Here is a 27499-nt window from a genome sequence, read left to right on the forward strand (position 1 = left end):
CCCACATATATCTCAGGCCTTCACTGCATCTTTTCATTACTCCTCCAAAACTGAAAACCTATGCGTGAGCCTCTGGCTTGCTGAGCCTAGGCAAAGCCTACATATAATAACTCCCATGGAGATGGAAGAGGCAATGTGTTTCATTGGCTTCTAGATGGGAGGTGGGGCCCCCAAATGACCAATGTTCCCAACAAAACCTGAACAATCTGAAATTATTCAGATTTCTGCTTGTCATTCTAACCTCTGTTCAGGACTTCCAAGATCCAGGACAGGCCCAGTGTAGATACCTGTGTCCCAAACCACTGATCTGGGCTAGGAAGACTGAATCACAGGTGTGGAAGGTCACCCGGGTTCAACCATCTAGGTGATGAATTAGGCCAGGACCTGGGCAGGTAGACCATTTATTCTGGGGAGATATGATGCGAGCTTGAATTACATGGGAGAAATATTTGTAAGGCAGATGGGATAACAGGACTTGATAAGTCTGTAGTGTGGAAAGGCTAGAAAAGAAAGGAATCAAAGGAATCCTGATTTCTGACTTGACAGGGTAGAAGGAGGTGTGTGTGTGTGTGCGTGTGTGTGTGTATGTTTATGTAGGGACAGTGACACCCAAGAGAGGCTAGGAATAGGTTTGTTTTATTCCTGTTTGGGGTGGTTGGGTAGGCAGGGTTAAGTTTTTGACTTGGTGAATTTGAGATGATGGCCAATATACAATTGACATTCCAGCTGGGGGGACCATTGAAGATCAAGTCTGGCAAGTCTACTAGCTGGCGCCTGGGTGAGCTGAGCCCAGCAGGTGAGGGAAAACGCGGGAAGAGGGTCTTGCAGATTCCAAACTTAGGAAGGGTCGCGGCTCCGCGCACGTGCTCTCGGGGTCACCTTCCCCGCGCCTGTGAGGGTGCCAGGAGTTCGTCTCCAGGTCCCGCCCCTGTGGGCGGGGCGAGGCAGCGTCGCCGCGAGGCCACCCGGAAGACCAAGCCGGGTAGGCGCTGTCTCCGTCGCCTCCAACCCCCCCGGTCCGACCAGGGAAGGTGGGATGCTCTGATGGCCGGGCCTGCGGCGCTGAGCGCGGCGGCGGCGGCTGCTCTGGCGGCCGCCCTGCTCCTGCTGCGTCGTGAGGACCCGGGGCCGGGGGCTGGCCCCAGGTAACCCCTCCGCGTATGGGACCGAGCTGGGCCAGGTCTCCTGGCCGGGCCGGGGATACCGTGGGGTATGCCCAGTGATGCCAGCAGCTTGTGGCACCTGGGCGCACCCTCCAGCTCGGGCCCCTTCCGATGGGTCTGCTGGCTCAGGTGCGGGCGATGGCCGGGGAGCCGCGCCCCGCACGTGACTCAGCACTTTCCCCAGAGCCCGGACTGCGGAGAACAATATCCTCCTCCCTAACAGATAAACAGCCCTTGTTCCTCGGGATAAGGACTGGCAGTCCCCTGACACCCTAAGACCGGCATCTGTCGATGTTATTTCCCCAGCATGGCCGAAACAGAAGCCCTGTCGAAGCTTCGGGAAGACTTCAGGATGCAGAATAAATCCGTCTTTATTTTGGGCGCCAGCGGAGAAACCGGCAGAGTGCTCTTAAAGGAAATCCTGGAGCAGGGCCTGTTTTCCAAAGTCACGCTCATTGGCCGGAGGAAGCTCACCTTCGACGAGGAAGCTTATAAAAATGTGGTGGGTATTTCAGCTGGGACTCAAATGGACCCCCAGGATTCTGCGAGGTGAACATATTTCATGCCTAAAGGCTGAATACTGCCCTGCCAGTGGTGGGGGTAGTGAGAGGCCATCAAAACTTGGCCAAGATTGGTCTGTGAGAGTCCCTCCCAGAAGTCTGACTCCTGGATTGTAGCCCAGGTGTGCCTCCCTCCCGCTCATTGTGTGGTCTTGGGCAAAGCCCTTCTCTCCATCTGCAACCCTATAAAGCTGGGTCTGGGTTGTAATGGGGGTGGGGGCTGGTGAGACAGAAGAGCACTGTTTTCAGGGTCATACAAGCTGTATTCTAGAGGCAGCCCTGGTGACCTTGAGAATTTTCTCAGCCACTTTGCTGATTTTGTCAACCTGCGCACTTCACACTAATATTGTCAGGGATTCTGAAACTGCTTTGCAGAGTGAGATAGGTCTATGGCAGTGAAAGGTGGGATTATTCACTTACAAGAATTTGCCCTGCCTGACTTCCCAGGCTTGTGTCTGTAAATCGGATATTCCCTTCACTCTAAGTTAAAGGTTTTTTTTTTTTTTTTTCTGAGACGGAGTCTCACTCTGTCCCCCAGGCTGGAGTGCAGTGGCACGATCTCGGCTCAGTGCAACCTCTGCCTTTCAGGTTCAAGCGATTCTTCTGCCTCAGCCTCCCGAGTAACTGGAACTACAGGCGTGCGTCACCACTCCTGGCTAACTTTTGTATTTTTAGTAGAGACGAGACAAGGTTTCACCATGTTGGCCAGGCTGGTCTCGAACTCTTGACCTCAGATGATGCTCCCGCTTCAGCCTCCCAAAGTGCTGCGATTACAGGCGTGAGCCACCGCGCCCAGCCTAAGTTACACTTTTATGATTATAGGAATGATATACCAGACTTCTGTCTTGTCATGACCCCCTAAATATCAGAAGCCTGAGTTTCTTGGAGATTCTGTTCTTTATTTAAAGGGAATTATCTGTGAACTGCAACAAATTAACATAGTGTGATCTCAAGACACCACAGCTACAGAATTTGGCCCCACAGGTTTCATAGAAAGAACATTTCAAATAACAAGCCATCTTGCAAATAAATGTTCTTGATTCTCGCAGGTCTGTGTTCAGGTCATGGTGTGAATGCCTTTGGTCCATCAAGTCTTGTTTATTTAAAACAGACATCTTTCCTCAGGCTGAGGCAGATGTGTTCTCACCGGTTTCATGGGCTGTGTCAGATATTCATGGTAATTAGAAGCTGAAACTGAAGGCTGGGCGTGGTGGCTCATGCCTGTAATCCCAGAGCTTTGGGAGTCCGAGGCAGGGGATCTCTTGAGGTCAAGAGTTCCAGACCAGCCTGGCCAACATGGTGAAACCCTGTCTCTACTAAAAATACAGAAATTAGCTGGGCGTGGTGGTGCACGCCTGTAATCTCAGCTACTCAGGAGGCGGAGGTGCGAGAATCACTTGAACCCAGGAGATGGAGGTTGCAGTGAGCAGAAATTGTGCCACTGCACTCCAGCCTGGGTGACAGAGCGAGACTCTGTCTCAAAAAAAAAAAAAAAAAAAGAAAAGAAACAAATTGAAATCTGTGTTTTGAGTGTCGAGTTTTGGTGGCACATCTGTTTGACTAGGTACTTTGTGAAACCCTATTTTTCTTTTTCTTTTCTTTTCTTTTCTTTTTTTTTTTTTTTTTTTTGAGATGGAGTCTCACTCTGTCGCCCAGTCTGGAGTGCAGTGGTGCGATCTCAGCTCACTGCAAGCTCCGCTTCCTGGGTTCACGCCATTCTCCTGCCTCAGCCTCCCGAGTAGCTGCAACTACAGGTGCCTACCACCACAACCGGCTAATTTTTTTTTTGCATTTTTAGTAGAGACGGGGTTTCACCATGTTAGCCAGGATGGTCTCGATCTCCTGACCTCGTGATCCACCCACCTCAGCCTCCCAAAGTGCTGGGATTAACAGTGAAACCCTATTTTTCTTTAGTGTCATAGGCAGTGCCAGAAAAATTCTTTTCAGAGTTGACAGTAAGGATGGAAACCAACATTTTATCGGAGTTCTTGGATGATAGGAATTTATCATGCTTTCTTTTTTAAGTTATACAGCAAACTGATAAGGTTAGATGGAGGTTCGTAAACTTCTGTGTGCATGAGAATTAAGGTGGGTGCTTGTTAAAAGTGCAGATTCTGATTCAGAACTATTGGTGTGGGATGTAGGAATATGCCTTTTTATTAAGCACTCCCTGACTAATTATAATGCAAATGGTTCATGGATTGGACTGAAGGAAAGATTATCACCCCCATTTTACAGCTGAAAAAAAAAAGCTGTAGTGTATGATGAATAATTTGCCCGTAACTACATGCCTAGTGAGTGTAGCAAGCCCAAGATTTGCAGCTAGGTCTTCTTTAAGATGCCAAACGCCATCTCTTGCCCTCACATCATACCTCAGTGGTCTCCTTCCTGGTTAGCTACACACAGGTCTTTTATTTTTCCAGAGAGAGATTATAATCGAACCTGACTTCAGAAATCTGGATCACCCCTAGTCCAGTTATATAGACTGTGGACATATGTGTGTGTTGTTGATTTTCAACTGAGGTTCATTGCTTTTTGGTTGGAGAAAAGGAATTTGTAAAATTTGATGTTAAGTGGACAGGCCTGTCAGTAATGTTCTGTAACTTAGTCTTTAAATCTAGAGGGGGTTTTTGGTCTGTTGTTTAAATAACATGAAACTACATACAACTGTGTCCTTGCCTAGAATCAAGAAGTGGTGGACTTTGAAAAGTTGGATGACTACGCCTCTGCCTTTCAAGGTCATGATGTTGGATTCTGTTGCCTGGGTACCACCAGAGGGAAAGCTGGGGCGGTAAGGAAGGCATATGCTCTTTTCCCTTTTTGCTGGCCAGTAATATCAAGGATTCTTTTCTTGCTCACTCTTTTTCTTTGTGCCTGTTGCAATGCTTAAATGTGAATAAGCCTTTATTGTTTAAGATTCTATATGCTGCACTAACCTTTGGTATCCTTTTAATAGTACTGATAAGTTCGTCTTTCAAAGTAATCCTTGAGTTCAGGCCCCAGTGCTGGAGACGTCGTAAATATTTACATGATTTTGCCTATTGTGATTATCGCTATCACTACATCCCCTGACTAAGGGAAACCATGATGTCTGAGTAAAACTAATTGGTTTATGCTGTTAACAATCAGCTGTTTTTCCCCTTAATAAATGTTTGAAATTTGAAATGTTCTGTCTCACTTGAGTGATTTGCTTCAACTTATTTTCATGTCAAGCTTTAAACTTCTGGAATAGAACATCAGAACACAGGCACGATTCAACCAGCCTCCAGCGATGACTCAGCCTTCAGCGATGATTCAACCCCACTAATGATTCAGTCTTTACTGACGCAAAAGTCTTTTAACGCACATTTTATTTTCTTTTTAATGGTGTTCTAAATTGAGTCAGCTCCTGTACAGAAGTCATAGTTTACTACATAGTTAGAAATCAGAGTTTACTACCTGGATTCTGGGCAAATGTTAGTGCGGGTACATCTTATTTAATTTATACTTTGACTATAGTTTATTCCTCTGGCAGAATTTACATGCTGGAGCTGAAAAAACCTGCATGTTCTGCATATGTATCCCAGAACTTAAAGTAAAATTTAAAAATATTTAATAATAAATACATAAATAAAACAGAAGAAAGTGAAAAAAGTAAATAAATAAATAAAGCCGAGGCACAGTGGTTCATGCCTGTAATCCCAGGAAAACAAGAAAAAAGAAAAAATATATATATATATGACTATGACTCTGCCATGGGAATTCTCCTTAGGTTTATAAGCCAGACCCCTTCACCTGAAACATTAAGGGAGCATATAGTGAAGAACTATTCATTTATACCAACCGAGTAGTTAGATTCAGATGTATTTCTTTGGGCCTCCTTGTGATGCAAAGAGTAATTCTATGTATGCTTTCAATCAAGATGTATTTCCATACCTTCTGCAGTTCTGCCTATCTGTCCTGGAACACAGCTGGGATTGGAGCTCTGTGATGGGAACTATGGATTATAGAGAAGTTTGACTTTCCCAGGAATTGGCACATTATCTCTCCTAGAAAGGGTCATGTTCCTGCTTAACAGTGGGTGCAGTCTTTTCTGTCCCAGGCACAGTCACAAGTGGTGTGCCCTCCAAAAGCATTGAAAAACTTTTGTTCCAGGACACTGCAGGTTTGTCTCAAGTGCCAACCTGGTTTTGGTGGTGAGTCAGCAAAACAAAATGCTGCATTAGGCATAGAAGGGTTGATTTTCATGACATAAGGCAAATCTCATTATAGGGTGTGCCAGGGAAAAGTCTAAACTGCTTTTTGTGTTCAAAATGGGTAATGCAATTTTAATCAGAGGAATTGTGTGTCTTTACTATCCAGAATTTTCTTTTTTAATGGGGTTGGTTCTTCACGTCTCAGGCTATTCAATACCTTTTGTTCTCCTTTAAAATCAATTTGGAAAGATAAAAGTAATTAACTAGTAAGCAAGAATAGACTAATGAGCCTAGACTATTCACCTAGCTTAGAAATGAATTAGGACTTAAATGATTTAAGAGGTTAGTGGTGGAAAGCAAGCTGACACTTATACCAGAAAAGTGTTTTGTTTGTTTTGGGGGCTTTAAAAAAAAAACTAATTTGGGCTGTGTACAATATAAAGTTGGGAGGTTGATAACTTTAGCCAATATGAAAGAGGTGACAGTTCATATGTGGCTAAGTAACGATAGTGTTTTAAGTGGAGGTTGTGGATTTCCAAGCTTATCCCAGCTGGTGTTCTGGGTCAGCAGCCCTCTCTGTAGAAAAAAGTTCGTTGGGTGGTTTATCATATGAGTACTACAAAGCTAGTGGCAAAACTAGTACGCTTCACTAGGGATTTTGTAACTGGAACACCTCATATATTGCCTTAGCAGTCTGTGTTTCCAGCAGAGAAACTTCAAGAAATTCAGCGTTTTTGTCTCAGTATTGAGATCCTCTGTGTAGGTGGCTTATTTCCATGTGATGTTCAGTGTATTAGTTTGCTAGGGCTGCCATAACCCAAGTAGCTTGAACAACAGAAACGTATTGTCTCACAGTTCTGGAGGCTAGAAGTCTGAGATCCAGGTCTCAGCAGGCTGGTCAGTGCTCTGAGGCTGAGCCCTTGAGTTTCCAGGCCCTCTCCTTGTCTTGTAGATGGCAGCCTTCTCTTTGTGTCTCTTTACGTGGTATTTTCCCTGAATACCTGTGCCTATATCCACATTTCCCCTTTTTATAAGACCACTAGTCATACTGGATTAGGGACCACCCTATTTAGTATGATCTCAACTAATTACATCTGCAATGAACTTATTTCCAAATAAGGTCATATTCTGAGGTAATGGGGGTTAGGAGTTCAACATACGCATTTTGGGGGGATGTAATCCAACCCACAAAATTCAGTCTACTCAGGTTTCTATTGACACTGGTTCTAGGAAAAGGTCTATTAGCTTTCCTCAGCTGTTTGGAAGACTATTTCCTTTAACAGTAGCTGGGCAGATGCTAATCTTCCTTTTCATATTCACAGAACACAGTTGTTCAGTCAATGCACTGGCTCCCTGACTTGGCCCTGATCCAGATCTACTGCATCAGCATCTCTGAATTTGGAAGCTTGGAATCTGTATTTTTAGCAGGCTCCTTGGGAGATCCTGATGCAGTCAACCCTGTCCTTCTTGTTGAACCTACTTTCAAGAGGCATTGGGGTGTATTAATTCCCCTCACTTGCTGGTTTTCTGGGTACTGTGGTCCTGGATAACCTTTGCCTTGCTTTAGTGAGTAACTTGTTTGCTAGTGAAGATTGAAATAGCCTTTGAAAACCAGATCTGTATTGTCCTGGAGTGAAGCACAAAAACTTAGAGATGCCAGTGAGAATAGTTCATTTCCCCTTATTTGTATCAAAAGAGGGATTTGATTAGTGAATTCAAGGTGGTTCGATGTGGTTTCACCTTTTCATTTGTTTCCTCACCTGGTCGTAGTAGGCTCCAGAAGTCCAGGTTCTTGTTTTCTGTTGAGTGGATGATGTCATTAATGTGATTAGTGTGGCCACTGTGACATTTATTAGGCATCTCATGGCCCATCTCATTAGAACCTTATGGCTTCTGATTCTAATGATCTGCTCTTCTAATTCAAAGGTTTGCAATACAGCCTGCCACCTGTTTTTGTACACCCTGTGAGCTAAGAATGTCTTTATGTATATATTTTTTTTTTGAGACGGAGTCTCGCTCAGTTGCCCAGGCTAGAGTGCAGTGGCGCAATCTCGGCTCACTGCAAGCTCCGCCTCCTGGGTTCACGCCATTCTCCTGCCTCAGCCTCCCAAGTAGCTGGGACTACAGGTGCCCACCACCATGCCCAGCTAATTTTTTGTATTTTTAGTAGAGATGGGGTTTTACCGTGTTAGCCAGGATGGTCTCGATCTCCTGACCTCGTGATCTGCCCGTCTTGGCCTCCCAAAGTGCTGGGATTACAGGCGTGAGCCACCGCACCCGGCCTATATTTTTAACTGGTTAAAAAATTCAAAAGAATAATGTCATACCATGTGAAAATATAAAAACTTCAAATTTTAGTCTTTATACATAAAGTGGTATTGGGACACAGCCATGCTTATTACTTTATGTATTATCTGTGGCTGCTTTTGTGCTATTAACATAATGGTAGAGCTATATAGTTGCAACAGAGGCCTGCAAAGCTAAAAATAGTTACTGTCTGATCCTTTACAGGAAAAGTTTGCCCACCCTTGTTCTAATCTCTGTTGTTTATTTGATGTCTAGGAGGGGGCTTGTGAAGTGGCGAGGTCCTAGCTGGTTCAAGGGACCCAGATCACAGGCCCTGTTTGGTTGCCAAGTAGCTATGGAGCCTGGAGTTTGCTGGTTAGCTTTTGGAGGCCACTACCTCCTTGTCTGTCAGAAGGAGGTGACCAGTGAACCCACCTTCCTACTGCAAAATTCTTAAACATTTTTCTGTTTTTTTGAGACAGAGTCTCATTCCATCGCCCAGGCTGGAGTGCAGTTGTGTGATTTCGGCTCACTGCAGGAGTGCGATTTCGGTCACTGCAGCCTCCACCTACCCAGCTCAAGCAATCCTCCCACCTCAGCCTCCCAAGTAGCTGGGACCACAGGCATGCGCCACCATGGCTGGCTAATTTTTGTATTTTTTTTTGTAGAGACAGGGTTTTGCCATGCTTCCCACCCAGGCTGGTCTTGAACTCCTGGGTTCAAGTGATCTGCTTGCCTCGGCCTCCCAAAGTGCTGGGATTACCATGAGCCATCGCACCCGGCCTGAAAAATTCTTTGACTCTATGAAACACAGAAGAAAGAATATCCAATTGGAAAACTTTTTCAAGAACATATAGATTGACCCAGGAATCCTCAGTATCTGCTTGATTTTATTTATCTATCCAGAACTTCTCTAACCAAGATCTTTCCCCTACCATTGAACATCAAATATGGAGATGCCCTCCAGGACACAAACAAAAGGTGCCTCAGATTATACCATTTGGTGTTTGTCAGCATCTTTGTTTTCTAGTCTAATTTATAGGGTTGGATTGAAAGGGAGTGAAGGAGAAAGAACCTGAAGCAGAAATAGGGCTGAATGGGACCTTTACAGAATGATAGACCCACCCTTCTTGGAAAAAGATCCCCATGATTTACTTTTTTATAAATTAATTAATTTTTTAGAGACAGGGTCTCACTGTGTTGCCAAGGCTAGACTCAAATTCCTGGGATCAAGCGATCTTCCTGCTTCAGCCTCCTGAGTAGCTGGGACCACAGACCACCGTGCCTGACCCCATGACCTTCTTGAGTCGTTTAGACGTGCTAACTTGTCCTATCAGTCAGCACTGAAATACTATACCTTGTTAGGATGAGTTGTTCTGAAGCCAGAATGTTGTTTTTAGTTTTCAGGCACTGGTAAAGAAGATTAGAAGAAATACTTAGTAGCTTTGGATTTTAGTAAGACTTAAGAGTCGTTGGAGAATTTGCTGCCTTTGATGTTGTGGAGCCTATGAGGATATCTCTACTGAGTGTAGTATACTGTGTTTATTCTTTTTGAGAGGGTGCTGGGAAAGGACTTTATAGTGGGAACTTATTTAATTAATTCCTTTTTCTAGAAGGGACTCAGATTCCTAGCTTAGAGCAGGACACATTGGCTATGGAATCATAAAGACAGAATGACATGTGGACTTAATACTCTCAGAAGAGATGTCTGTCCACATGGTTAGGGAAACTAAGTACAGTTTTTCTAAAAATTGTGTTTCTGAGATATGAAATAGCTTGCTTTAGTTAGTTTTTCTGTTGTTTTTTTAATCGAGCTATTGGAGAACAATAAAGGGCATGAATAAGATTTTCGAGATCGCTCCTTTCATCTGTAAATAGAATCTTCCTCACTCCAGAGAAAATTGGTGTGTGATACCTCCTAGTCAGTCATCAGGACCCATGCTTCAGTTTGATTTTTAAGTCTTTGAAAGCTGTTGACCCTTTTGCTTTTGAGTTTCATTCACCAGCTAAAAGGCCACGCCATCAGGGTGACGGAAGTGAAATTCAAAATTTAGTGGGCTTGGAAAAACGCGTATTTATAATGAGCTTGAAGGCTCAGAGGATTTGTGAAATCGTTTTGGATTAACAGCCATTGATTGCTAATAAAACAATATTTAGCTTTGTCCAGAGAACAGCAATGGAGAAAGGTATGGGCACCTTGTCAACAGGCCCCATTGAGCAGGGATGATGGGCTAAGTGTGGGGGTCTCTGCAGCAGCGTGGGTGCTCGTCCTTCAAGGAGCGGTTGTCAGTCGTTAGCGAGGCGGGTGAAAGGAAGGACGCCAAAGTCTGATGGCCGGGGTGGTATTGATGTGCCTTCGCTGACTAATCAGATTGAAAAAGTCCCATGGTATTTATGTCACTTTAATTTTCATCAAACAATTGGAGACGACAGCACTCTATTAAGGAGAGGTTGATCCAGAACTAAAGCCAAATAAATTAGGGTCTCAGTTTAATCAAATTATCCTTTTACTGGCTCTGGATTAAGTGAGAGAGACAGCGTCGGTCAGGAGACTTGTGATTGGCTGAATCTTTCCCTTATTTTTAAAGAAACGGATGAAAGAAAAAGTATTTTAACAGACTACTATAATAATCCTTCCAATCAATCTTGCTAAAACAACAACAACAAAAAAACTGAATTTATTTCACTAGTCAACTGTGTCATTTTGTTGTGAATAACTAACCTGTCATTAAAATCAGAGTTCTGATAAACTGGCATGAGGGGAAGAAACAGATGTGGAAGAAAAATTTAGTGTCTTAGAATTTTTCTATGTAGTTTTGGGCTGTTTCTCTTGGCACACTTTCAGCACATCTAAAGTCTCCATTTGGAGAATGGCTCTGAGGGTAATCACTTCTCTCAGGATGTGCTGAGTACTTAAATTGGTTTGCTTTACACTAATTTTAAAAGCAACTGCATGAATTTGAGTCGGTATATAGACAGCTTGGCAAGTCCGTTGTTCAGGACTGAGTGTCAAAGTATACAACAAAAAGTATACAAAAGGAGATGGTGATGACTCGTGAGTAAAGAGGTAAGTTTATATTACCCACAAACTAAGGTAGAAAAAGTAAGGCAGAAAAATAACACTGTCCTCCAGGTGGTGGATATAGTTAAAAATGTACTTGTGAGTGATGGGAAAGGAGGATGAGGAAGGCTTTTACAGTAATGGTAATGTTCTATTTCTTGATCTTGGAACTGGTGGCAGAGCATGTTCAGTTTATGAAAATTTATTGAGCTCTATACTTATGTTTACTTTTATGATACACTTCCATACAAAGTTAAAAAATCTGCATGGGCGTATTGTTTTAAAATTGAATTCTGTATTAGTTTCCTATTGCTGCTTTAATAAATTCCTCAAATTTAGCAGCTTAAGACAACACAAATTTATCATCTTAGAAGTCTGACACGGGTTTACCTGAGATAAAATCAAGGTGTTGACAGAGCTGCATTCCTTTCTGGGAGGCTGTAGGACAGAAACCATTTCCATACGTTTTTCAGCTTCTAGAGGCCACCCCCATTCCTTGGCCTGTGGTCCCCTTACCATCCTTAAGGCCAGCAATGTGGTAGCTGAGCCCTTCTTAGGTTGCATTACTCCAGCCTGCTCTTCTGCCTCGTTCTTTTACTTTTAAGGGCCCTTGTGATTACATTGGGCCCACATGGATAATTCAAACTAATCTCTCTGTTTCAAGGCCAGCTGATTAGCACCCTAATTCTAAACACTGAATTTCTAAAACACTGAATTTCCCTTCCACATCTATTTCTTCCCCTCATGCCAGTTCACTAGAACTCTGATTTTAATAATGTGTTTGTTACAACAAAATGACACAGTTGACTGGTGAAATAAATTCAGTTTTTTTGTTGTTGTTGTTTTAGCATGATTCATCTTGCTTCTGCCTAAATACCATCTGTGATGGAATTCCCCCTTGTCATGTAACATGACATATTCACAAAGATTAGGACGTGGGCATCTTTGAGGGACCATTATTCTGCCTACCACAATCACGGATTAGTCATTTTCATTAGCGAGAGAGGGTGGGGGATAAAAAAGGAACATGGGTACAGTGAAAAGAGCACTGCTCAGAGTCCAGAATCTGCACTCTGCTCTCGGCTCTCCCACTTCCCAGCTAACAGTTCACCCGCCCACTGGACCTTGGTTCCTGTCTATATCATGAGGGGACTGGATGTGATATTTCCTAAGGTACCTTCTAACATTCTGTGAAAGATACACATCGCCCTACCAAATAGAACATTTAGAATCAGTAACTACTGAGGAGCAAATTTTTTAATTAAAAAAAAAAATCAGGCCGGGCGCGGTGGCTCACACCTGTAATCCCAGCACTTTGGAAGGCCAAGGTGGGCGGGTCATCTGAGGTCAGGAGTTCAAGACCAGCCTCGCTAACGTGGTGAAACCCTGTCTCTACTAAAATACAAAAATTAGCCGGACATGGTGACATGTGTCTATAATCCCAGCTACTTGGGAGGCTGAGGCAGGAGAATCACTTGAACTCAGGAGGCAGAGGTTGTGGTGAGTGGAGACCACGCCACTGCCCTCCAGCCTGGGCAACAGAGCAAGACTGTCTCAATCAATCAATCACTGGGGCAGTAGTCCAGTCTTCAGATTTGGAATTCCTACTACTCTAAGACCTCATTCTGTAATTGTGACTACCTATAAAGTTCAGCTTCAATAGACTTTAGACTTGTCTTCAGCTGTCTTGGGTTTGAAGATGCCAGAATTTATGGTGGTCTCAAGAGACTGTTACTCCTTGGAATTCCCTTTTCTGGGTAAAGGTGCATGCTTTTCAGTTAGGCCCTGGAAGTGAGTCTATATTCTGTTATTTGTGTCATTCTCTTCCCTCCCCCTTTTATTGCCACTTAGTTCTGTTTGTTTCTGACTGGATTTACCTTTTCTCTGCTTTCATTGGCGTTTTGTTCATTCATTTTTGGAGCATCTACCATATGCTGGACATGTGCTGATGCTGAGAGATGAATTAAGAAAAAAGACCCAGCCACTGCCTTCACTGGACTGAATCTAGATTGGGTGTCTCCAAACACTTTTGACTAGAGACCCATTAATAAAAACGTTTGAGGATGCATTCTTTACTAATGTGTGAGGTACATTGTAGAGCATACACAAAAATTGGGAATTAAATAGACTTTGTTCTCTTAGTGCCTGGGGAGTGTCCTCACCCATACTCGGAGACCCTACCACATTAGAATTGACACAGAAAACAGGAGTGTAAAGTTGTGAAGTTATTAAGACAAAAAAAAAAGTCTGGCTTAAAAGTAGTTTCTCAGCCTGATCTTACTGTTCCCTTTGTTCTTTGCAGATTTGTTTGGTGTCTGTGTTTCAATGTCATTGTCCTTGTTTCCTTATTGCAGTCCAGTCTTGCTGCTAAAGCTGGTGTGCCTATCCAGAGGACCAGACCTGGAGCCTTTCCCAGGGTCTAAGCCTGACTTTCATGTATTGCTTGGACACATTTTATTTAGATCTCCATCCTTCTAGGCCTCCCAGCCTGCTACCCAAGCCAAGTAGTAATCTTTAAGATGAACTTGCTGCTTTTTGGAAATAACTCATGTCCTTTTCCCCCTTAGGAGGGATTTGTTCGTGTTGACCGAGATTATGTGCTGAAGTCTGCAGAGCTGGCAAAAGCTGGAGGGTGCAAACATTTCAACTTGCTATCCTCTAAAGGAGCTGATAAATCAAGCAATTTTTTATATCTACAAGTTAAGGTTTGTGCAAGTTTCTGTTTTTCATACACTTTGGAGAACCCTAGCTATTTGGCAGTACTAAAGAATATAAAATATTATATAATACAAAAACCATCAAATGCATCATATTATGCATTTGTATGGCTACGGGACTGCAGGAATATATTTAGTAAACAGGAATGATTGGAAAGGTAATTTCCAATGTCTTCCTCTCTATTAATTATCCAGCAACAAATGGAATGAGATATGGCATCTCCAGCCTTGACTGTCAGCATGGCAGCTTAGCATTGGAAGAGACTTGGAGGCAGTGATTCTTAAACTTTTCCGTCAGTCTCCCTAATGACTGAGCGGAAAGAAGAGCTTTTATTTGTGTAGAGATTTGGAGAAATCTATCCTGAAGCAGTATTCTAGTTACAGACTCAACTTTCTTTTCTTTTTTTTTTTTTTGAGACAGGTTCCCAGGCTGGAGTGCAGTGGCATGATCTTGGCTCGCTGCAGCCTCTGCCCCGCCAAGTAACTGGGACTAGAGGCATGAGCCACCATGCCTGGCTAATTTTTGTATTTTTGGTAGAGATGGGGTTTTGCCATGTTGCCCAGGCTGGTCTCAAACTCCTGAGTTCAAATGATCAGCCCATCTCAGCCTCCCAAAGTGCTGGGATTACAGGTGTGAGCCACTGCGTCTGGCCTCAACTTTCTTAAAAGTCTTAACGTTTTATCTTTTAAAAATTTATGCACATTTTGCTATTCTTAGTACTATACATATCCCTGTTTATTTTAATTTAAAAGGTTTCTATTAACTTACCTTTCAGTTAAATTGATGCTGTTGGAAGATAGGCATGGCTTTGTCTTTGTGTGCCTCCCTTTGCACCCCAGGTGCCCACAGTTTAAGCAGCAGAGCCACAGAGGTCATTCAGCCATAGACTTTTCCTATGTGAAGTCCTTTTACAGAAGTTCATCTCCTTTCTGCTTAAATATCTCCAGCACTACAGAGATTACTATCTCGTTAGCCAACTTTTTCTATTTTGGGTCAGATCTACTTGTCCAAAAGTCTTTACCTTGAAGTGAAATTTATTGTTATGTAAATACAAATTGTTATCAGTTCTGCCTTTTAAAATAACAAAAATACGTCCAGTCTTTCTTTTGCATTGTAGTTTTTAAGACATTTGGAGATTATGACCCCCTTAATTGTATGTTTCCCAGGCATAACACCTTTAAATCCTTGCACCATTCTTTATGGGTTCCTGTGTCTAGCTCCTTCATGACTGCATCACTTTGCTAAGGGTGAACTTTGCAGTGATATTATACTGGAACTGCACTGGGAGTACTATTCATGCTCCGAACACTATGTTTTTTTAAAAAAATAGGATATAAGATTGTTACTATTTTACCAAACATCCTTATTATGTTGTTGGCTCATGATCAGCCTGTAATATTAAAAATTTCCAGATTTTTTTCACATGGCTTATAGCTGAGCCATATCTCACCTATCCTAAAATAGTATTTTGAACCAGATGAAGATCAGTGAGCCACCAATGAAATTACATGAAGAATGGAAAAGTTTCCACTTAATTGTCAGAGTTTAGAACAATTCTTAAAAGGAAAAAATCTGTTTTCCTTTTTTTTTAGAGTCAAAGTCTTGCTCTGTCACCCAGGTTGAAGTGCAGTGGTGCGGTCACAGCTCACTACAACCTCAGATTCCTGGGCTCAAACAATCTCCAGCCTCAACCTCCTGAGCAGCTGGGACTACAGGCATGAGGGATCAGGCCCAACTTGTTTTTTAAAACACTGACACATGTGGGTTCTGAGAAAGGTTATCAAATAGGATTTTTGCTCTCATTAGCAAGATCAACATTTATACCTTTTAGGAAAGAAAATATACATAAGATATTTCCTCATTGTTAAAGATAAAGGCGTTACTACTGACTCACTGGGTTATAATAATGATTTAACCAGATTTTTAAAAAAATAGCTAACACTAAATGAGCCAGGCAGTATTCTGAGGGCTTTTATGTGCATTTGCGTGGAAACAGGTACTGTGATATTAAGACCACCAGCTGTTGGCTGGGCACGGTGGCTCACGCCTGTAATTCTAGCACTTTGGGAGGCCGAGGTGGGAAGATCACTTGAGGCTGGGAGTTTGAAACCAGCCTGGGAAACGTGGCAAAACCCTGTCTGTACTAAAAATACAAAAATTAACTGGCACAGTGGTGTATGCCTGTAATCCCAGCTACTCGGGAGGCTGAGGCAGGAGAATTGCATGAACCCGGGAAGCAGAGGCTGCAGTGAGCCAAGATCACATCACTGCACTCCAGCTTGGGGACAGAGTGAGACTCTGTCTCAAAAACAAAACAAAACAAAACAAACAACAACAACAACAACAACAACAAAAACACCAGCTGTTAAGCGGCAAAGCTAGAGCTTGAACCCAGGCTGATTCCAAGGCCTATGCCACTAGCTATTAAGTAATGAATAGCCTTTGTCACTAATACATGCAAAAGGGACCCAGCAGAGATTGGACCGTGACAGAGCCTCAGCAAATATTAAGGCCAATACAACGGAAAGACACTTCTGATTTCACTGCAATTGGCCTGCATTACCTGCAGCCTGGGATTATGAATTAGATTAATAAAGGACAGAAATGACAACCAAATGATCCAACCCAGAATGACGCTGAACAATATATAATTGCTTTTACAATTTGGAAAGATTATCTTTCCAAAATAATCCTTCAACTACTGTGTGTAACATTCCTAGTATTTATTGCCTATTTTCTCAGCCTCCATGTGTGTATGAACTCCCCCGCCCCACCCAATTTTAGAAACTCCTTTATTGTTTAGGAACATTTATTCTACTCAATGAAGTTTCAATTGCATTCATTCATGGTGGGCCAGCTCTGGGGGCTTGGATCAATCATGTGCTTTATGGGCATTCTGCTGGTGCCGTGGGGAGACGTGTCAGGATGTGGAGCCCAGAGTACTGGATGGGCCTCATGTCCTCTGTTCTCAGGGTTTATAAGCTTTGGTTTCCTCATCTATTCAGGGTGAAGGTATACTTTCCAGACATGTGACATTTTATTATTGGGTATCATCCTTGACCTCAAGGAGTTTATAATCTGCTTGTATTGAGGGATCCTCAAAGACACCCCCAAGTTTGGTAATTCACTAGAAGGTTTCATAGGACTCAGCATATAGTCATACTCACAGCTACAACTTATCGCATTGAAAGGATATAGAGCAAAATCAGCAAAGGGAAAAGGTGTGTCGGGTGAAGTCTGGAGGAAAGTAGGTACAAGCTTCCAAGAGGCCTCTCCCCATAGAGCTTGCACAGGATGTGCTTAATGTCTCCAGCGATGAACGTTTTCTGCCAGAGAAACTCATCTGAGCCTAGGAATGCAGGGTTTTTATGGGAGCCAGTTACATAGGCACATTGGCCTAGCCAAATTGCAGCCCTCCAGAAGAAAGGCAAGTTTTCAGCATAAACCACATTGTTTGTACAGACAGTTTAGGCATAGTACATGACCCTTATCAGATAGGGAATGGTGGGAACACACCGAAAATCCAAGGTTGCAAGCACAAGCCAGGGGCCAAACTTGTAACAGGCCTTTCTAAGGATAGCAGTCTCAGCCTGCTATGGTATCTCTTTTATGCACACTGCTAATAGAGACAAAACAAATCTTTTAAAAAGCTAAGAAATGGGCTGGGCGCGGTGGCTCACGCCTGTAATCCCAGCGCTTTGGGAGGCCGAGGCGGGCGGATCACGAGGTCAGGAGATTGAGACCATCCTGGCTAACACGGTGAAACCCCGTCTCTACTAAAAATACAAAAAATTAGCCGGGCGTGATGGCAGGTGCCTGTAGTCCCAGCTGCTCGGGAGGCTGAGGCAGGAGAACGGCATGAACCCGGGAGGCGGAGCTTGCAGTGAGCTGAGATTGCGCCACTGCACTCCAGCCTGGGCGACAGAGTGAGACTCCATCTCAAAAAAAAAAAAAAAAAAAAGCTAAGAAATGTGTGTACACATAAAATCTTGTGTATGACTGTTCATAGCAGCATTATTTATAATGGCCAAAGAGTGGGAACAACCTAGATAGCCATCGACTGATGAATAGATGAATAAAATGTGATATATTCATGCAATAGAATATTATTCAGCTATAAAAAGAAATGATACATACTACAACATGGGTGAACCTTGAAAATATTATGCTAAGTGTGAGGAGACAGTCACAAAAGACCACGAATTATATGATTTCATTTATATGAAATGTCCAGAATAGGCAAATCTATAGAGATAGAAGGTACATTAGTGGTTGACTAGGTCCCCAGAGGGTAGGGTACGAGGAGTGACTGCTAATGATATGGGATTTCTTTTCAGGGTGATGAAATATTTTAAAACTTAGATCGTGATGAAGGTTACAGAGTTCTGTGTATATACTAAAAACCACCTATTAAAAAAAAAAGAATGGCCAAGCGCGGTGGCTCTCGCCTGTAATCCCAGCACTTTGGGAGGCTGAGGCGGGTGGATCACTTGAGGTCAGGAGTTCGAGACCAGCCTGGTCAACATGGTGACAACCCCGTCACTACTAAAAATACAAAAATTAGCCAGGCATAATGGCGGATGCCTGTAATCCCAGCTACTTGGGAGGCCGAGGCAGGAGAATTGCTTGAACCTGGGAGGTGGAAGTTGCAGTGAGCCAAGATCATGCCCTTGCACTTCAGCCTAGGTGACATGGTGAGACTCTATCACACACAAAAAATACATAAATAAATAAATAATTAAAATTAAAAAATTTTTAAAAAGAAAAAGATATTTAAAAATAGCTACTTAAATGTCTGTGATGAGACAGGTTAAGTGCCAATTGAGTGGTACACACAGGCCAAGAAGGAGGCGTGCATGACCGTGTGGTAGTTCACAGGCCTTTGGAAGTGCCTGTGGGCTGAGCTCCTCAGGCATTTTGTTTCCAGAGATGCCTGCCATGAAAATGCATGCTTTATTTAACAAATTAGATTTAAAGCATCATCTAGATGTAATCTGTCTTAAAATTTTGTGAGGTTTAAGAAGTGAGTAATATAGTGGGTCTATGGTTTTCTGACCCACTGGAACTACCTATAAACCAAAAAAACGTTAGTGTCTGCTAGCATGCAACATGAATTCTGGACTAAATAGAGGATATTCTTTTATGATTGTACTAACGTATGACTTACCCTCTCTGAATCTGTTTTAATATCAATAAAGTGAGAGGACTGACTATGCAGCCATTCACTCATTTAGTGGATCTTTTAAATGAAAGACTACACATCAGGATTAAATGATCTCTTCCTTAATTTCCCAGACTCCTTGGAACCTAAAATTCTAGATAAGGATATTTTGAGTATTGAGATCTGCAAAAGCAGATTATCTCAAAACCACAAATTATTCTCTCTTAAACTTCACACAGGTGAGCTGGTCGCGATTAAATACTGAAAATGTGTTTTTTCTTAATAGGGAGAAGTAGAAGCCAAGGTTGAAGAATTAAAATTTGATCGTTACTCTGTATTTAGGCCTGGGTAAGTATAATATTTATACTGAATGAGAGTATGCCACTGATGGTTAATCCCTAGATACTAATTTTTCATTTGGAAAGGCTGACAGCTGAAATATCTAAGATATGAAAGACATTGGCTAGAGGTAGATTGCTTCTCTGAAGGACACACCTTTTTGCTTAGAAAGAAAGGGTAGATGGTGGGGCCTGCTTCAGAATAGTCTGGAACTTCCTGGACAGCATTTGCTGCCTTCTTAAATCCTCTTCATGTGCCAAATAAAACCTTACGTCTACTGTATTAGTCTGCTTGGGTTGCCATAACAGAATACCACACAGATTGGGTGTCTTAAACAACAGAAATTTTTTTTCACGCAGTCTGGAGATTGGAAGTCCAAGATCAAGGTGCCCTCAGGGTTGGTGTCCGGTGAGGCCTCTTTTCCTGGCTGGCAGACAGACCACCTTCTGGCAGTGTCCTCACATGGCCTTTCTTCTTAGTGTATGCAGACAGAGAGAGACCTCTGATGTCTCTTCCTCTTATGAGGACCCCAGTCCCATCACACTAGTCCTATTCCATCCTTAAGACCTCATTAAACTTAATTACTTCCCTTAATGCCTTATCTTCAAATATAGACACCTTGGGGATTAGGGCTTCAACATTAGAATATTGAGGGGATACAGTTTTGTCCGTAATGCCCACTGTGGTCTCAGTGCAATTTACCACCTCTTCCTCTGCTTTTCTTTCTTTTTTTTTTTTTTTTATTTTAGAGTTCTGTTATGTGATAGGCAAGAATCTCGCCCAGGTGAATGGCTGGTTAGAAAGTTCTTTGGCTCCTTACCAGACTCTTGGGCCAGTGGGCATTCTGTGCCTGTGGTGACCGTGGTTAGAGCAATGCTGAACAATGTGGTGAGACCAAGAGACAAGCAGATGGAACTGCTGGAGAACAAGGCCATCCATGACCTGGGGAAAGCGCATGGCTCTCTCAAGCCATGACCACATTGGAGAAATGGTTTTTATTGTCAACCTTAACACCCATCACCAAATCGGTAATTTCAGGGTCTAAAAAAAGTCAGCATGTTTTAACTTTGTTGTTTTACTATCCTCAGGCATCCATTCCAATCAAGAAATGATGGTGCTCTGCATCAGTGGTTCAGAGCCTGGTTATACATATAGATCACTCAGGGAGCTTTGGAAAAATAAAGATTTGTCAGCCCTATCTCAAACTTGAATCAAAATTTCTGGGGTGTGGGCACAATAATCTGTAATTTTCTTTGTTTATACTTCCCCTGATGCCACTGGTTCCGATGCCACTGGCTGGGGGGCCTGCTTTGAAATGCTTGTCTGCAGAGTCACAGCAGCCATGAAAACCTTATGACCGTGCAAATGAGCTCTGCTCTAAAATTGTTGACATTCATGTCTCTGAGTTACAAAAGTGCTAATTCACTACATGTAATTGTGTAAGTAAACATTGTGCCTTTACTACTTCTTTATGTAATAGAAGTTATATACCTAAGCTTATATAATACATGGGGAGGATTAAATAAAGGAATAAAGATGAATGGACAACTCCTGGGTGCCTCTTAGATTGCTTGAAAATGCCCATGTAGTGTGATATGCAGCATTTCAGCCTATGGGGTGATATAATAGCAGCTAATATTTACCAAATGCTTGCTAAGTACCAGTCTTTACATGTGTTATCTGTGCTTTAACCCTCTTATAAACAATCCTTATAAAGTGATACTATCATGATCTTCATGTCTTAGATGGGGAAATGAGGCTCACTGTGGTTAAGTGCCTTGCTCAAGAGTCCAAATCTGAAGAACTGAAGCAAAGAAATGGCAGAGTCAGGATTCTAACCCAGGTCTGCCTGATCCCATAGATCCCATATATCGTGTTTTTAAGCACCCTGCAAAAGCATTCTGTTCCCGTATATTTCCAGGTAGTTCCAGTTGATTGTTACTACATGTTGTGGATGAACAAAATCGAAATATTTGGGTTTCTCCTTTGTTCTAGTGATTAATTACTAAATGTTCACATAGCCAGTAAAATTCTATGCCACCAAACTTTAAAGTGCTCATGCTGCTGCACTTTAAAAATTAAGGCAAAGGAAGATGCAGAAGGAAGGGTCAAAGCCAAGAGGAACATACATTGCTAATTTCCATCATAGAACAAAAGATGTTAATGTAACTTGTCTTAACGTCTGCACCAGGGAAGCAAAGTGATTCGAGGGACTCAGTCAATTCTTCCAAGGCCTACTGTATGCCAAGTACATTTCAAGCTTCAGTATACACTGGAGGATAAAGGCCATTCTCCTTAATTTGGAGTGTATATCCTTAGAAGGGAGAAGACATTCCCAGTGTCAGTCACCCAAAAAAGAGGCATATTTTAGGGCAGGGTGGGATATTGAAATGTGAGCTTTAAAAGGAAATGAAATATCTTCCTTCTGCCAGGTGGGGTTCCCTGGGAGTTGGACTTTGAAGAGCCTAAGTGTGTTGTTTTGATGGTGAAAAAGCATGGGCCGAGGATATGTTGAGGCCTCTGGGCTCTGAAAGCAGCTAAACCCAGTGGCCTGTTTTAAGTTATTCTCCTTATATTATTTCCTTACTCACAAACCTTCGAGCAGGTTTCATTCAACATGTTATTCTGGTCTCAGTAGTGATGTGGGATAATGAGGAAGGGTCTGTGTTCACCTTTGGAGTAGAGAGAAAAGCAGCCCTCTCTTGAGCTCTGCATTGTGGTGAGATATGAACTTACTAAGGAACAAGACTCTGGCCCAATCACTCCTCCACAATGGGTGTTAACTTGTTTTATTGTCAACACTGAATGGACTGGGTGTTCCATTTAGTACTAAGGGATTCAGGAAGTTTTCCACCAAATGTTACACAGACAGAAAAAGTTTATGTTGGAAGGATGAAGGGAAAAGTTGGATGGGCCCAGGTAATCAAGTGTTCATTAATTCATTCAGCAAATGCTTATTCAGTGCCTTTCATGTGCCACTGAGCACACAGGCACTGGGGATGCATCCATGAACGATGACTCCAACTCAAGAGAGCCAGCAGCTATTCTGGCAATGTCCTAGGATGTAAGAAAGCTTCAAAATTAATATTTGGGCCGGGTGCGGTCAATCACGCCTGTAATCTCAGGACTTTGGGAAGCCGAGGTGGGCAGATCACTTGAGGTCAGGAGTTCAAGACCAGTCTGACCAACATGGTGAAACCCTGTCACTACTAAAAATATAAAAATTAGCCAGGCATGGTGGTGAGCACCTATAATCCCAGCTACTTGGGAGGCTGAGGCAGGAGAATCGCTTGAACCTGGGAGGTGGAGGTTGCAGTGGGACAAGATCGCACCACTGCACTCCAGCCTGGGCAACCGAGCGAGACTCTGTCTCAAAGAAAAACAAAAACAAAAACTAATATTTAATGGATTCTGTCCTCTAGGAATTTACAATTAAGGGAGAAAAGTACATTTAGAAGTACATTTAGCAATAATATAAGGCATCATTTTTATTCAGTGAATACATTCAGTATCTATTAATACTATGGGCCAGGCCACATATTATGTGCCAGAGAAATGAAAGTAAAGAGACATGGCCCTTACTTACCCTTATTGTTCAGTGCTGTGGGGTATCACCAAAAAAGAAAAAAAAATCAAGTAAGCAAATGGTGGGTGCTAAGAAACTAACAGGATACTCCTGAAATAATGGTGGAAACTATTTTAGAAATGGCCTGAGGAAAGTGTTTCTGGTTGAGACCAAAGGGACCTACCCATGTGTAGAACATTCAATGATTAGCAGTAAATAAAAGGCTTAAGGGTGGGACCCAAGGTGAAGGGTTCCATTGGAAAGAGGCAGGATTATGCAGGGCCTGATAGGCCAATTAGATAAACTCTGCTAGAGCCTGGGGCACTCCCTCCTAAGCAAGAATTCTGGGCCGGGCGGTGGCTCGCGGGCAGGTGGATCACCTGAGGTCGGGAGTTCCAGACCAGCCTGACCAACATGGAGAAACCCTGTCTCTACTAAAAATCCAAAATCAGCCGGACGTGGTGGCGCATGCCTGTAATCCCAACTACTCGGGAGGCTGAGGCAAGAGAATCGCTTGAACCCGGAAGGTGGAGGTTGCGGTGAGCCTGAGATCGTGCCATTGCACTCCAGCCTGGGCAACAAGAGCGAAACTCCGTCTCAAAAATCAAACAAAAAAAAGTTCTATGGTTTGAAGAGATATAAGGAAAGGAAGAAAGGGACGTGGCATGAGGCAGGCAGGGGAACATTTGTGTTCTTCCCCACACAGCAGCCAGATTGTTACTTTCTCAACACATCTGAGAGCATCACTCCCTGGCTTAAATAGTTATGTCTGAGCACTTTACATGTATTAACTCGTTTTATCCTTACTGTAGTTCTGAAGTTAGTCCAGGTTTTTTGTTTTTTGTTTTTTTTTTTTTAAGATGGAGTCTTGCTCTGTTGCCCAGGCTGGAGTACGGTGGCACAATCTCGGCTCACCACAAGCTCCGCCTCCCGGGCTCAAGCAATTCTCCTGCCTCAGCCTCCCAAGTAGCTGGGATTGCAGGCGCGTGCCACCACACCTGGTTAATTTTTGTATTTTTAGTAGGGACAGGGTTTCACCATGTTGGCCAGGCTGGTCTCCAACTCCTGACCTCAGGTGATCCGCCCGCCTCAGCCTCCCAAAGTGCTGGTACTATAGACGTGAGCCACCGTGCCCTGCCCAAGTGCAGTTATTATCCTTGTTTTGTATTTGATGAAACTGAGGCAGAGAGAGGTCGAGTAACTTGCCCAAGATCACAGTTACAAAGTGACGTGGGTAGGATTCAAACCCAGCAGGCTGCCTCTAGAGTTCACGTTCTCACTTAACCAAAGATTAAAATCCGTCTTGGGGGGTTTGACACCTATCTGTCCCTGCAGTAGACCCACCCTGGCCCATGCAGTTCGTTCCCTCTCGCCAGCTGCACCCCCTCCAGGACCTGGGAGCCCAGAAACCAGCCGAGCCTCCAGCGTTTGGCCTCCTCCGCCACCAGAGGGCGTCATGGGCCGATCGCCCCTCCGCTAACCGCTCATCCCAGGAAAAAGGGGCGCACAGAGGACAGGATGCCAACCCCAAAACCGCAGCGACGTCTCTCTGCCTTGGGGCTCACAGCAGCGGGCCGCGACCTCCCACTAACGCCTGCCGCAACCCAAGGAGGAGACAAAAGTCATCTTCCGGGCTGCAACATTAACCGTCATCAGCGCGCCTCTTCAGCGCGCACTGCGCCAACCCTGCGGCAGGAGGAGGCGGAGCCCCCGCTCTCGCCCCGCCCCCACCTCACGTGACCCGCACGGCGCCTCGAGGCCGGAAGCGATTGCGAGCCAGCGCGCGCGCTTCGGCGTTCCCGGCGGTCTGCGAAGTTTCCGGAGCCCGGGTCCCGCCGCGGGTTCGCGCTTGTGCTCGCGCTCGTTCCTGGAGTCGGCGGCCGCTGCGCGCGCTCGTTGCCCAACCCGGTCCCCGCCCCCAGACACGCCGGGCTCTCGGGGCACCACAGCCATGTGCTCGTTAGCGTCAGGCGCTACCGGTGGGTACCCTGGCCCCTCAGCACCCGGCTCGTCCAGCCCCAGGCCGCGCCGCTGTGGGGCCGGTGGAAGACCCTCCGGGACACGGGCCCGGGCAGGGTGGGGGGCTCGCAGGGATCATGAAGGAGGTGCTGAGTGAGGGCCGCGGGCGAACGGGGCGGAGGAGAGCCCATCGTCACCTGCTCCTCGAGCCCCCGGGCCGCACCGGTGTCCGAGGCCGATCTGATTGTTGTGTGTGTGTGTTAGGCGGCCGGGGCGCTGTGGAGAATGAGGAGGACCTGCCAGAACTGTCGGACAGCGGGGACGAGGCCGCCTGGGAGGATGAGGACGATGCAGATCTCCCCCACGGCAAGCAGCAGACCCCCTGCCTGTTCTGTAACAGGTTCGTCCGCCTCAGCGCCTGGCCTCTGCCCTAGGGTGCCCGGGCGCGTGGGGTCTGTGTGCCCAGGAACGCCTTCGGGCGGGAGGCAAGCCAGAGTGGCCTGTCTTTGAATTCTGGAACCACTGGTCTGGGGTGAGGGCTTGTGGAGAAGGAGGACCCTCGGTAGTAGAGAGGGGGAACCGTGAACTGGAAGGCCGGTTGTACTGCAAGCTTTTGACTGGTAGTGCATTGAATCTGTGGTTCCCAAATCTTGTCACTTGAGACGCTGAAAACAAAATGATACTGAACTCTGCACCTGAATCCTTCCAAGTCAGGGATGGGGTCTAAGAATATTCTGTTTTTATGAGGACAAGATCGGAAGTAACAGTGAAGTTACTAACGAGTTACTACTAACGAGTAACATATTTGGCAGCCACCCTGAACTAGATAATCCCTACGGAGCCTTCCGGCTTTACCATGCTAATTCTTTGACCAGTACAGAGCTTCTCAGGTGAAACATTTCTTTTTTATTTGAGCGGTTTCCATAGTCTAAGAAGGAAGTTCACCTTACTTAAGTAGGACTTTTCACTTAAGGAAAAAGACTGTAGTATCAATAATTTGCTCAAGGTCACAAAGCTGTGGTGTGCTTATTTCCAAACTCACATTCTTGCCACTTAAAATTCTGCCTGTTAGTCTTGGGAAGCTTTGGCTCCTGTCCTAGGCAAGTAGGCATGAAAGAGGCCCGGTTGGCATTGGCCGGTGTTACTTTAATACATTTTCCAGTGTTCCCTGTATCTGGGCATGGTGCTGAGTGGTGGTGCGTTAGTGTTCTCATCTGTAGCCCCATTGGGTAGATAGAATGCCTGTATATATTCTAGTTGTCATAAAATATTTATTGAGCACCAGTGGTACCGTGGCTGTGATAGCCTCCATAAATAGTCGACATAACCTATCTCGGTAAACATTTGTGGAAAACTAATGCTCCACATGTGTTAGGAATATAGATAAGGTATACAGCTTCTCTGCTGTGTATTCCTGTCTTTAAGTAGCCTTCAGATTTGCATGTCACATAATAAAGAGGATTGATCCTCACAGTGTCTGTGATGCAAGTACGTTGGGAATACTACAAGATCACTTTTGAAATAAGGCACTTGGGGAGTATGCCAGCTGTAAAATTACATTTTATGCTTTATTTCTAAAAGCAGTTTGAGCTGTGCCAGTTCAAAGCCTCTGAAAGCAGAGTTGACACTTAGAGGAGAAAAGAATCTCAAGTAGAGAAATTGTATGACTTGAGAGAAACAGACTCTATCAAAGGGAACTCTCTTAAAAGCCTTTTGATAAAATCAGTGATATTATTTGACAAATAAATTCACTTTGACATTTAAAGGATAATTGGTTTTAGGTATAAAATGGGACTCAGAAGTACTAATTCCCTTTAAAAGTGCTGGATTCCCTTCCTTTCAGATACAAGTGTGTTTGTTTTTTCTTAATTGGAAGTAAAACTAGAAACCAGCAGAGTTAAAAAAAAAAAAAAAGTGTATATGTAACATGAAATCAGTATTTAGACTTCTTAGGGGACTATTCCATGAAGCTATTGCTTGATTTTTCAGGTTATTCACATCTGCTGAAGAAACATTTTCACACTGTAAGTCTGAGCATCAGTTTAATATTGACAGCATGGTTCATAAACATGGTGAGTAGTTTTTAGAATAAAGGCAATTTAATTTGTGAAATTTGGGCAGGCATGGCAGCTCACACCTGTAATCCCAGCACTTTGGGAGGCTGAGGTGGGTGGATCACTTTAGGTCGGGAGTTCAAGACCAGCCTGGCCAACATGCTGAAACCCCACCTGTACTAAAATACAAAAGTTATCTGGGTGTGGTGACGCACACCTGTAATAGCAGCTGCTCAGAAGACTGAGGCAGGTGAATTGCTTAAACCTGGGAGGCAGAGGTGGCAGTGAGCTGAGATGGTATCACTGCACTCCAGCCTGGGCAACAGAGTGAGACTCTTCTCAAAAAAAAAAAAAATCTGTGAAATATAAGTTCAGATTTTATAGTTTTTCAGACCCTTTTCTGTACGAGTTTAATATGGCGAATCACACAGCAACATCTTGTGGAAATGGAGTTTTTT

General features: G+C 43.9%; 2 protein-coding genes across 10 annotated transcripts in view, besides 14 other annotated features; both read left to right on the plus strand.

Annotated features, from left to right (window-relative positions):
- Nucleotides 947-21015, plus strand: HTATIP2 (HIV-1 Tat interactive protein 2). Of its 5 annotated transcripts, none has more exons than NM_001098520.2 (6): nt 947-1145; nt 1470-1665; nt 4407-4514; nt 13813-13950; nt 19411-19472; nt 20213-21015. In NM_001098520.2, the coding sequence occupies exons 1-6, from the start codon at nt 1045-1047 to the stop codon at nt 20436-20438; spliced, it is 831 nt and encodes a 276-aa protein (NP_001091990.1). In that variant the 5' UTR covers nt 947-1044; the 3' UTR covers nt 20439-21015. The 5 variants fall into 5 exon arrangements, with proteins under 5 accessions (NP_001091990.1, NP_001091991.1, NP_006401.3 ...); NM_001098521.2 differs by having other exon boundaries at nt 947-1031; NM_006410.5 differs by having other exon boundaries at nt 947-982.
- Nucleotides 948-1367: a silencer, noted in NCBI's record as "silent region_3202". NCBI's record gives its function as "represses an Ori minimal core promoter by ATAC-STARR-seq in GM12878 lymphoblastoid cells {active_cell/tissue: GM12878}" and the evidence as "EXISTENCE:reporter gene assay evidence [ECO:0000049][PMID:35858748]".
- Nucleotides 1154-1296: a silencer, noted in NCBI's record as "fragment chr11:20385467-20385609 (GRCh37/hg19 assembly coordinates)". NCBI's record gives its function as "represses an EF-1alpha promoter that drives an FKBP-Casp9 reporter gene in an ReSE screen in HepG2 liver carcinoma cells {active_cell/tissue: HepG2}" and the evidence as "EXISTENCE:reporter gene assay evidence [ECO:0000049][PMID:32094911]".
- Nucleotides 4480-5679: an enhancer, noted in NCBI's record as "P300/CBP strongly-dependent group 1 enhancer chr11:20388793-20389992 (GRCh37/hg19 assembly coordinates)". NCBI's record gives its function as "activates an origin of replication core promoter dependent on BRD2, BRD4, P300/CBP, MED14 and CDK7 cofactors, with strong dependence on P300/CBP, by STARR-seq in HCT116 cells {active_cell/tissue: HCT116}" and the evidence as "EXISTENCE:reporter gene assay evidence [ECO:0000049][PMID:35650434]".
- Nucleotides 4928-5072: an enhancer, noted in NCBI's record as "145 bp enhancer 64 fragment used in the MPRA reporter construct; PK_construct_3522". NCBI's record gives its function as "activates an SV40 promoter by MPRA in HepG2 and K562 cells {active_cell/tissue: HepG2 | K562}" and the evidence as "EXISTENCE:reporter gene assay evidence [ECO:0000049][PMID:23512712]".
- Nucleotides 4995-5005: a transcriptional cis regulatory region, noted in NCBI's record as "NFE2L2 motif; enhancer activity is reduced when this motif is scrambled". NCBI's record gives its function as "necessary for full MPRA enhancer 64 activity {active_cell/tissue: HepG2 | K562}" and the evidence as "EXISTENCE:site-directed mutagenesis evidence [ECO:0005528][PMID:23512712]".
- Nucleotides 22143-22343: a silencer, noted in NCBI's record as "peak1232 fragment used in MPRA reporter construct". NCBI's record gives its function as "represses an SCP1 promoter by STARR-seq MPRAs in K562 erythroleukemia cells {active_cell/tissue: K562}" and the evidence as "EXISTENCE:reporter gene assay evidence [ECO:0000049][PMID:32103011]".
- Nucleotides 22143-22777: a biological region, named in NCBI's record as "H3K27ac hESC enhancer GRCh37_chr11:20406589-20407090".
- Nucleotides 22276-22777: an enhancer, noted in NCBI's record as "H3K27ac hESC enhancer chr11:20406589-20407090 (GRCh37/hg19 assembly coordinates)". NCBI's record gives its function as "activates a minimal SCP1, AML or CMV promoter by ChIP-STARR-seq in naive H9 embryonic stem cells {active_cell/tissue: H9 hESC(naive)}" and the evidence as "EXISTENCE:reporter gene assay evidence [ECO:0000049][PMID:30033119]".
- Nucleotides 24657-24826: an enhancer, noted in NCBI's record as "experimental_19887 CRE fragment used in MPRA reporter constructs". NCBI's record gives its function as "activates a minimal promoter by MPRAs in K562 erythroleukemia cells, with activity observed for both the introgressed and non-introgressed 11:20409055 variant alleles {active_cell/tissue: K562}" and the evidence as "EXISTENCE:reporter gene assay evidence [ECO:0000049][PMID:34662402]".
- Nucleotides 24657-25307: a biological region, named in NCBI's record as "H3K27ac hESC enhancer GRCh37_chr11:20409013-20409620".
- Nucleotides 24660-25219: a silencer, noted in NCBI's record as "silent region_3203". NCBI's record gives its function as "represses an Ori minimal core promoter by ATAC-STARR-seq in GM12878 lymphoblastoid cells {active_cell/tissue: GM12878}" and the evidence as "EXISTENCE:reporter gene assay evidence [ECO:0000049][PMID:35858748]".
- Nucleotides 24700-25307: an enhancer, noted in NCBI's record as "H3K27ac hESC enhancer chr11:20409013-20409620 (GRCh37/hg19 assembly coordinates)". NCBI's record gives its function as "activates a minimal SCP1, AML or CMV promoter by ChIP-STARR-seq in primed H9 embryonic stem cells {active_cell/tissue: H9 hESC(primed)}" and the evidence as "EXISTENCE:reporter gene assay evidence [ECO:0000049][PMID:30033119]".
- PRMT3 (protein arginine methyltransferase 3) overlaps nt 24949-27499 on the plus strand; it is a 121623-nt gene continuing 119072 nt past the window's right edge. For 2 of the 5 annotated variants that reach the window (NM_005788.4, XM_047426228.1), the window contains exons 1-3: nt 24949-25007; nt 25252-25387; nt 26977-27059. In NM_005788.4, the coding sequence (NP_005779.1) occupies nt 24980-25007; nt 25252-25387; nt 26977-27059 (247 nt within the window). In that variant the 5' untranslated portion in view covers nt 24949-24979. Of the gene's footprint in view, nt 25008-25251; nt 25388-26976; nt 27060-27499 lie in introns of those variants that run through there. The other 3 variants (NM_001145167.2, NM_001145166.2, XM_047426227.1) reach the window with 2 other exon arrangements.
- Nucleotides 25308-25914: an enhancer, noted in NCBI's record as "H3K27ac hESC enhancer chr11:20409621-20410227 (GRCh37/hg19 assembly coordinates)". NCBI's record gives its function as "activates a minimal SCP1, AML or CMV promoter by ChIP-STARR-seq in naive H9 embryonic stem cells {active_cell/tissue: H9 hESC(naive)}" and the evidence as "EXISTENCE:reporter gene assay evidence [ECO:0000049][PMID:30033119]".
- Nucleotides 25770-25819: an enhancer, noted in NCBI's record as "active region_4526". NCBI's record gives its function as "activates an Ori minimal core promoter by ATAC-STARR-seq in GM12878 lymphoblastoid cells {active_cell/tissue: GM12878}" and the evidence as "EXISTENCE:reporter gene assay evidence [ECO:0000049][PMID:35858748]".

The sequence above is a fragment of the Homo sapiens genome, chromosome 11 (assembly GCF_000001405.40).
Source record: "Homo sapiens chromosome 11, GRCh38.p14 Primary Assembly".
Classification (NCBI taxonomy): Eukaryota; Metazoa; Chordata; class Mammalia; order Primates; family Hominidae; genus Homo; species Homo sapiens.

What these genes read in the sequence shown, in the direction of transcription:
- HTATIP2 (NM_001098520.2), top strand. Translation starts at nt 1,045, where the DNA reads ATGGCCGGGCCTGCGGCGCTGAGCGCGGCGGCGGCGGCTGCTCTGGCG. An exon ending in GGGCCGGGGGCTGGCCCCAG is followed by an intron (nt 1,146 to 1,469) that starts GTAACCCCTCCG and finishes TTATTTCCCCAG; the next exon opens with CATGGCCGAAACAGAAGCCC. An exon ending in AGGAAGCTTATAAAAATGTG is followed by an intron (nt 1,666 to 4,406) that starts GTGGGTATTTCA and finishes GTCCTTGCCTAG; the next exon opens with AATCAAGAAGTGGTGGACTT.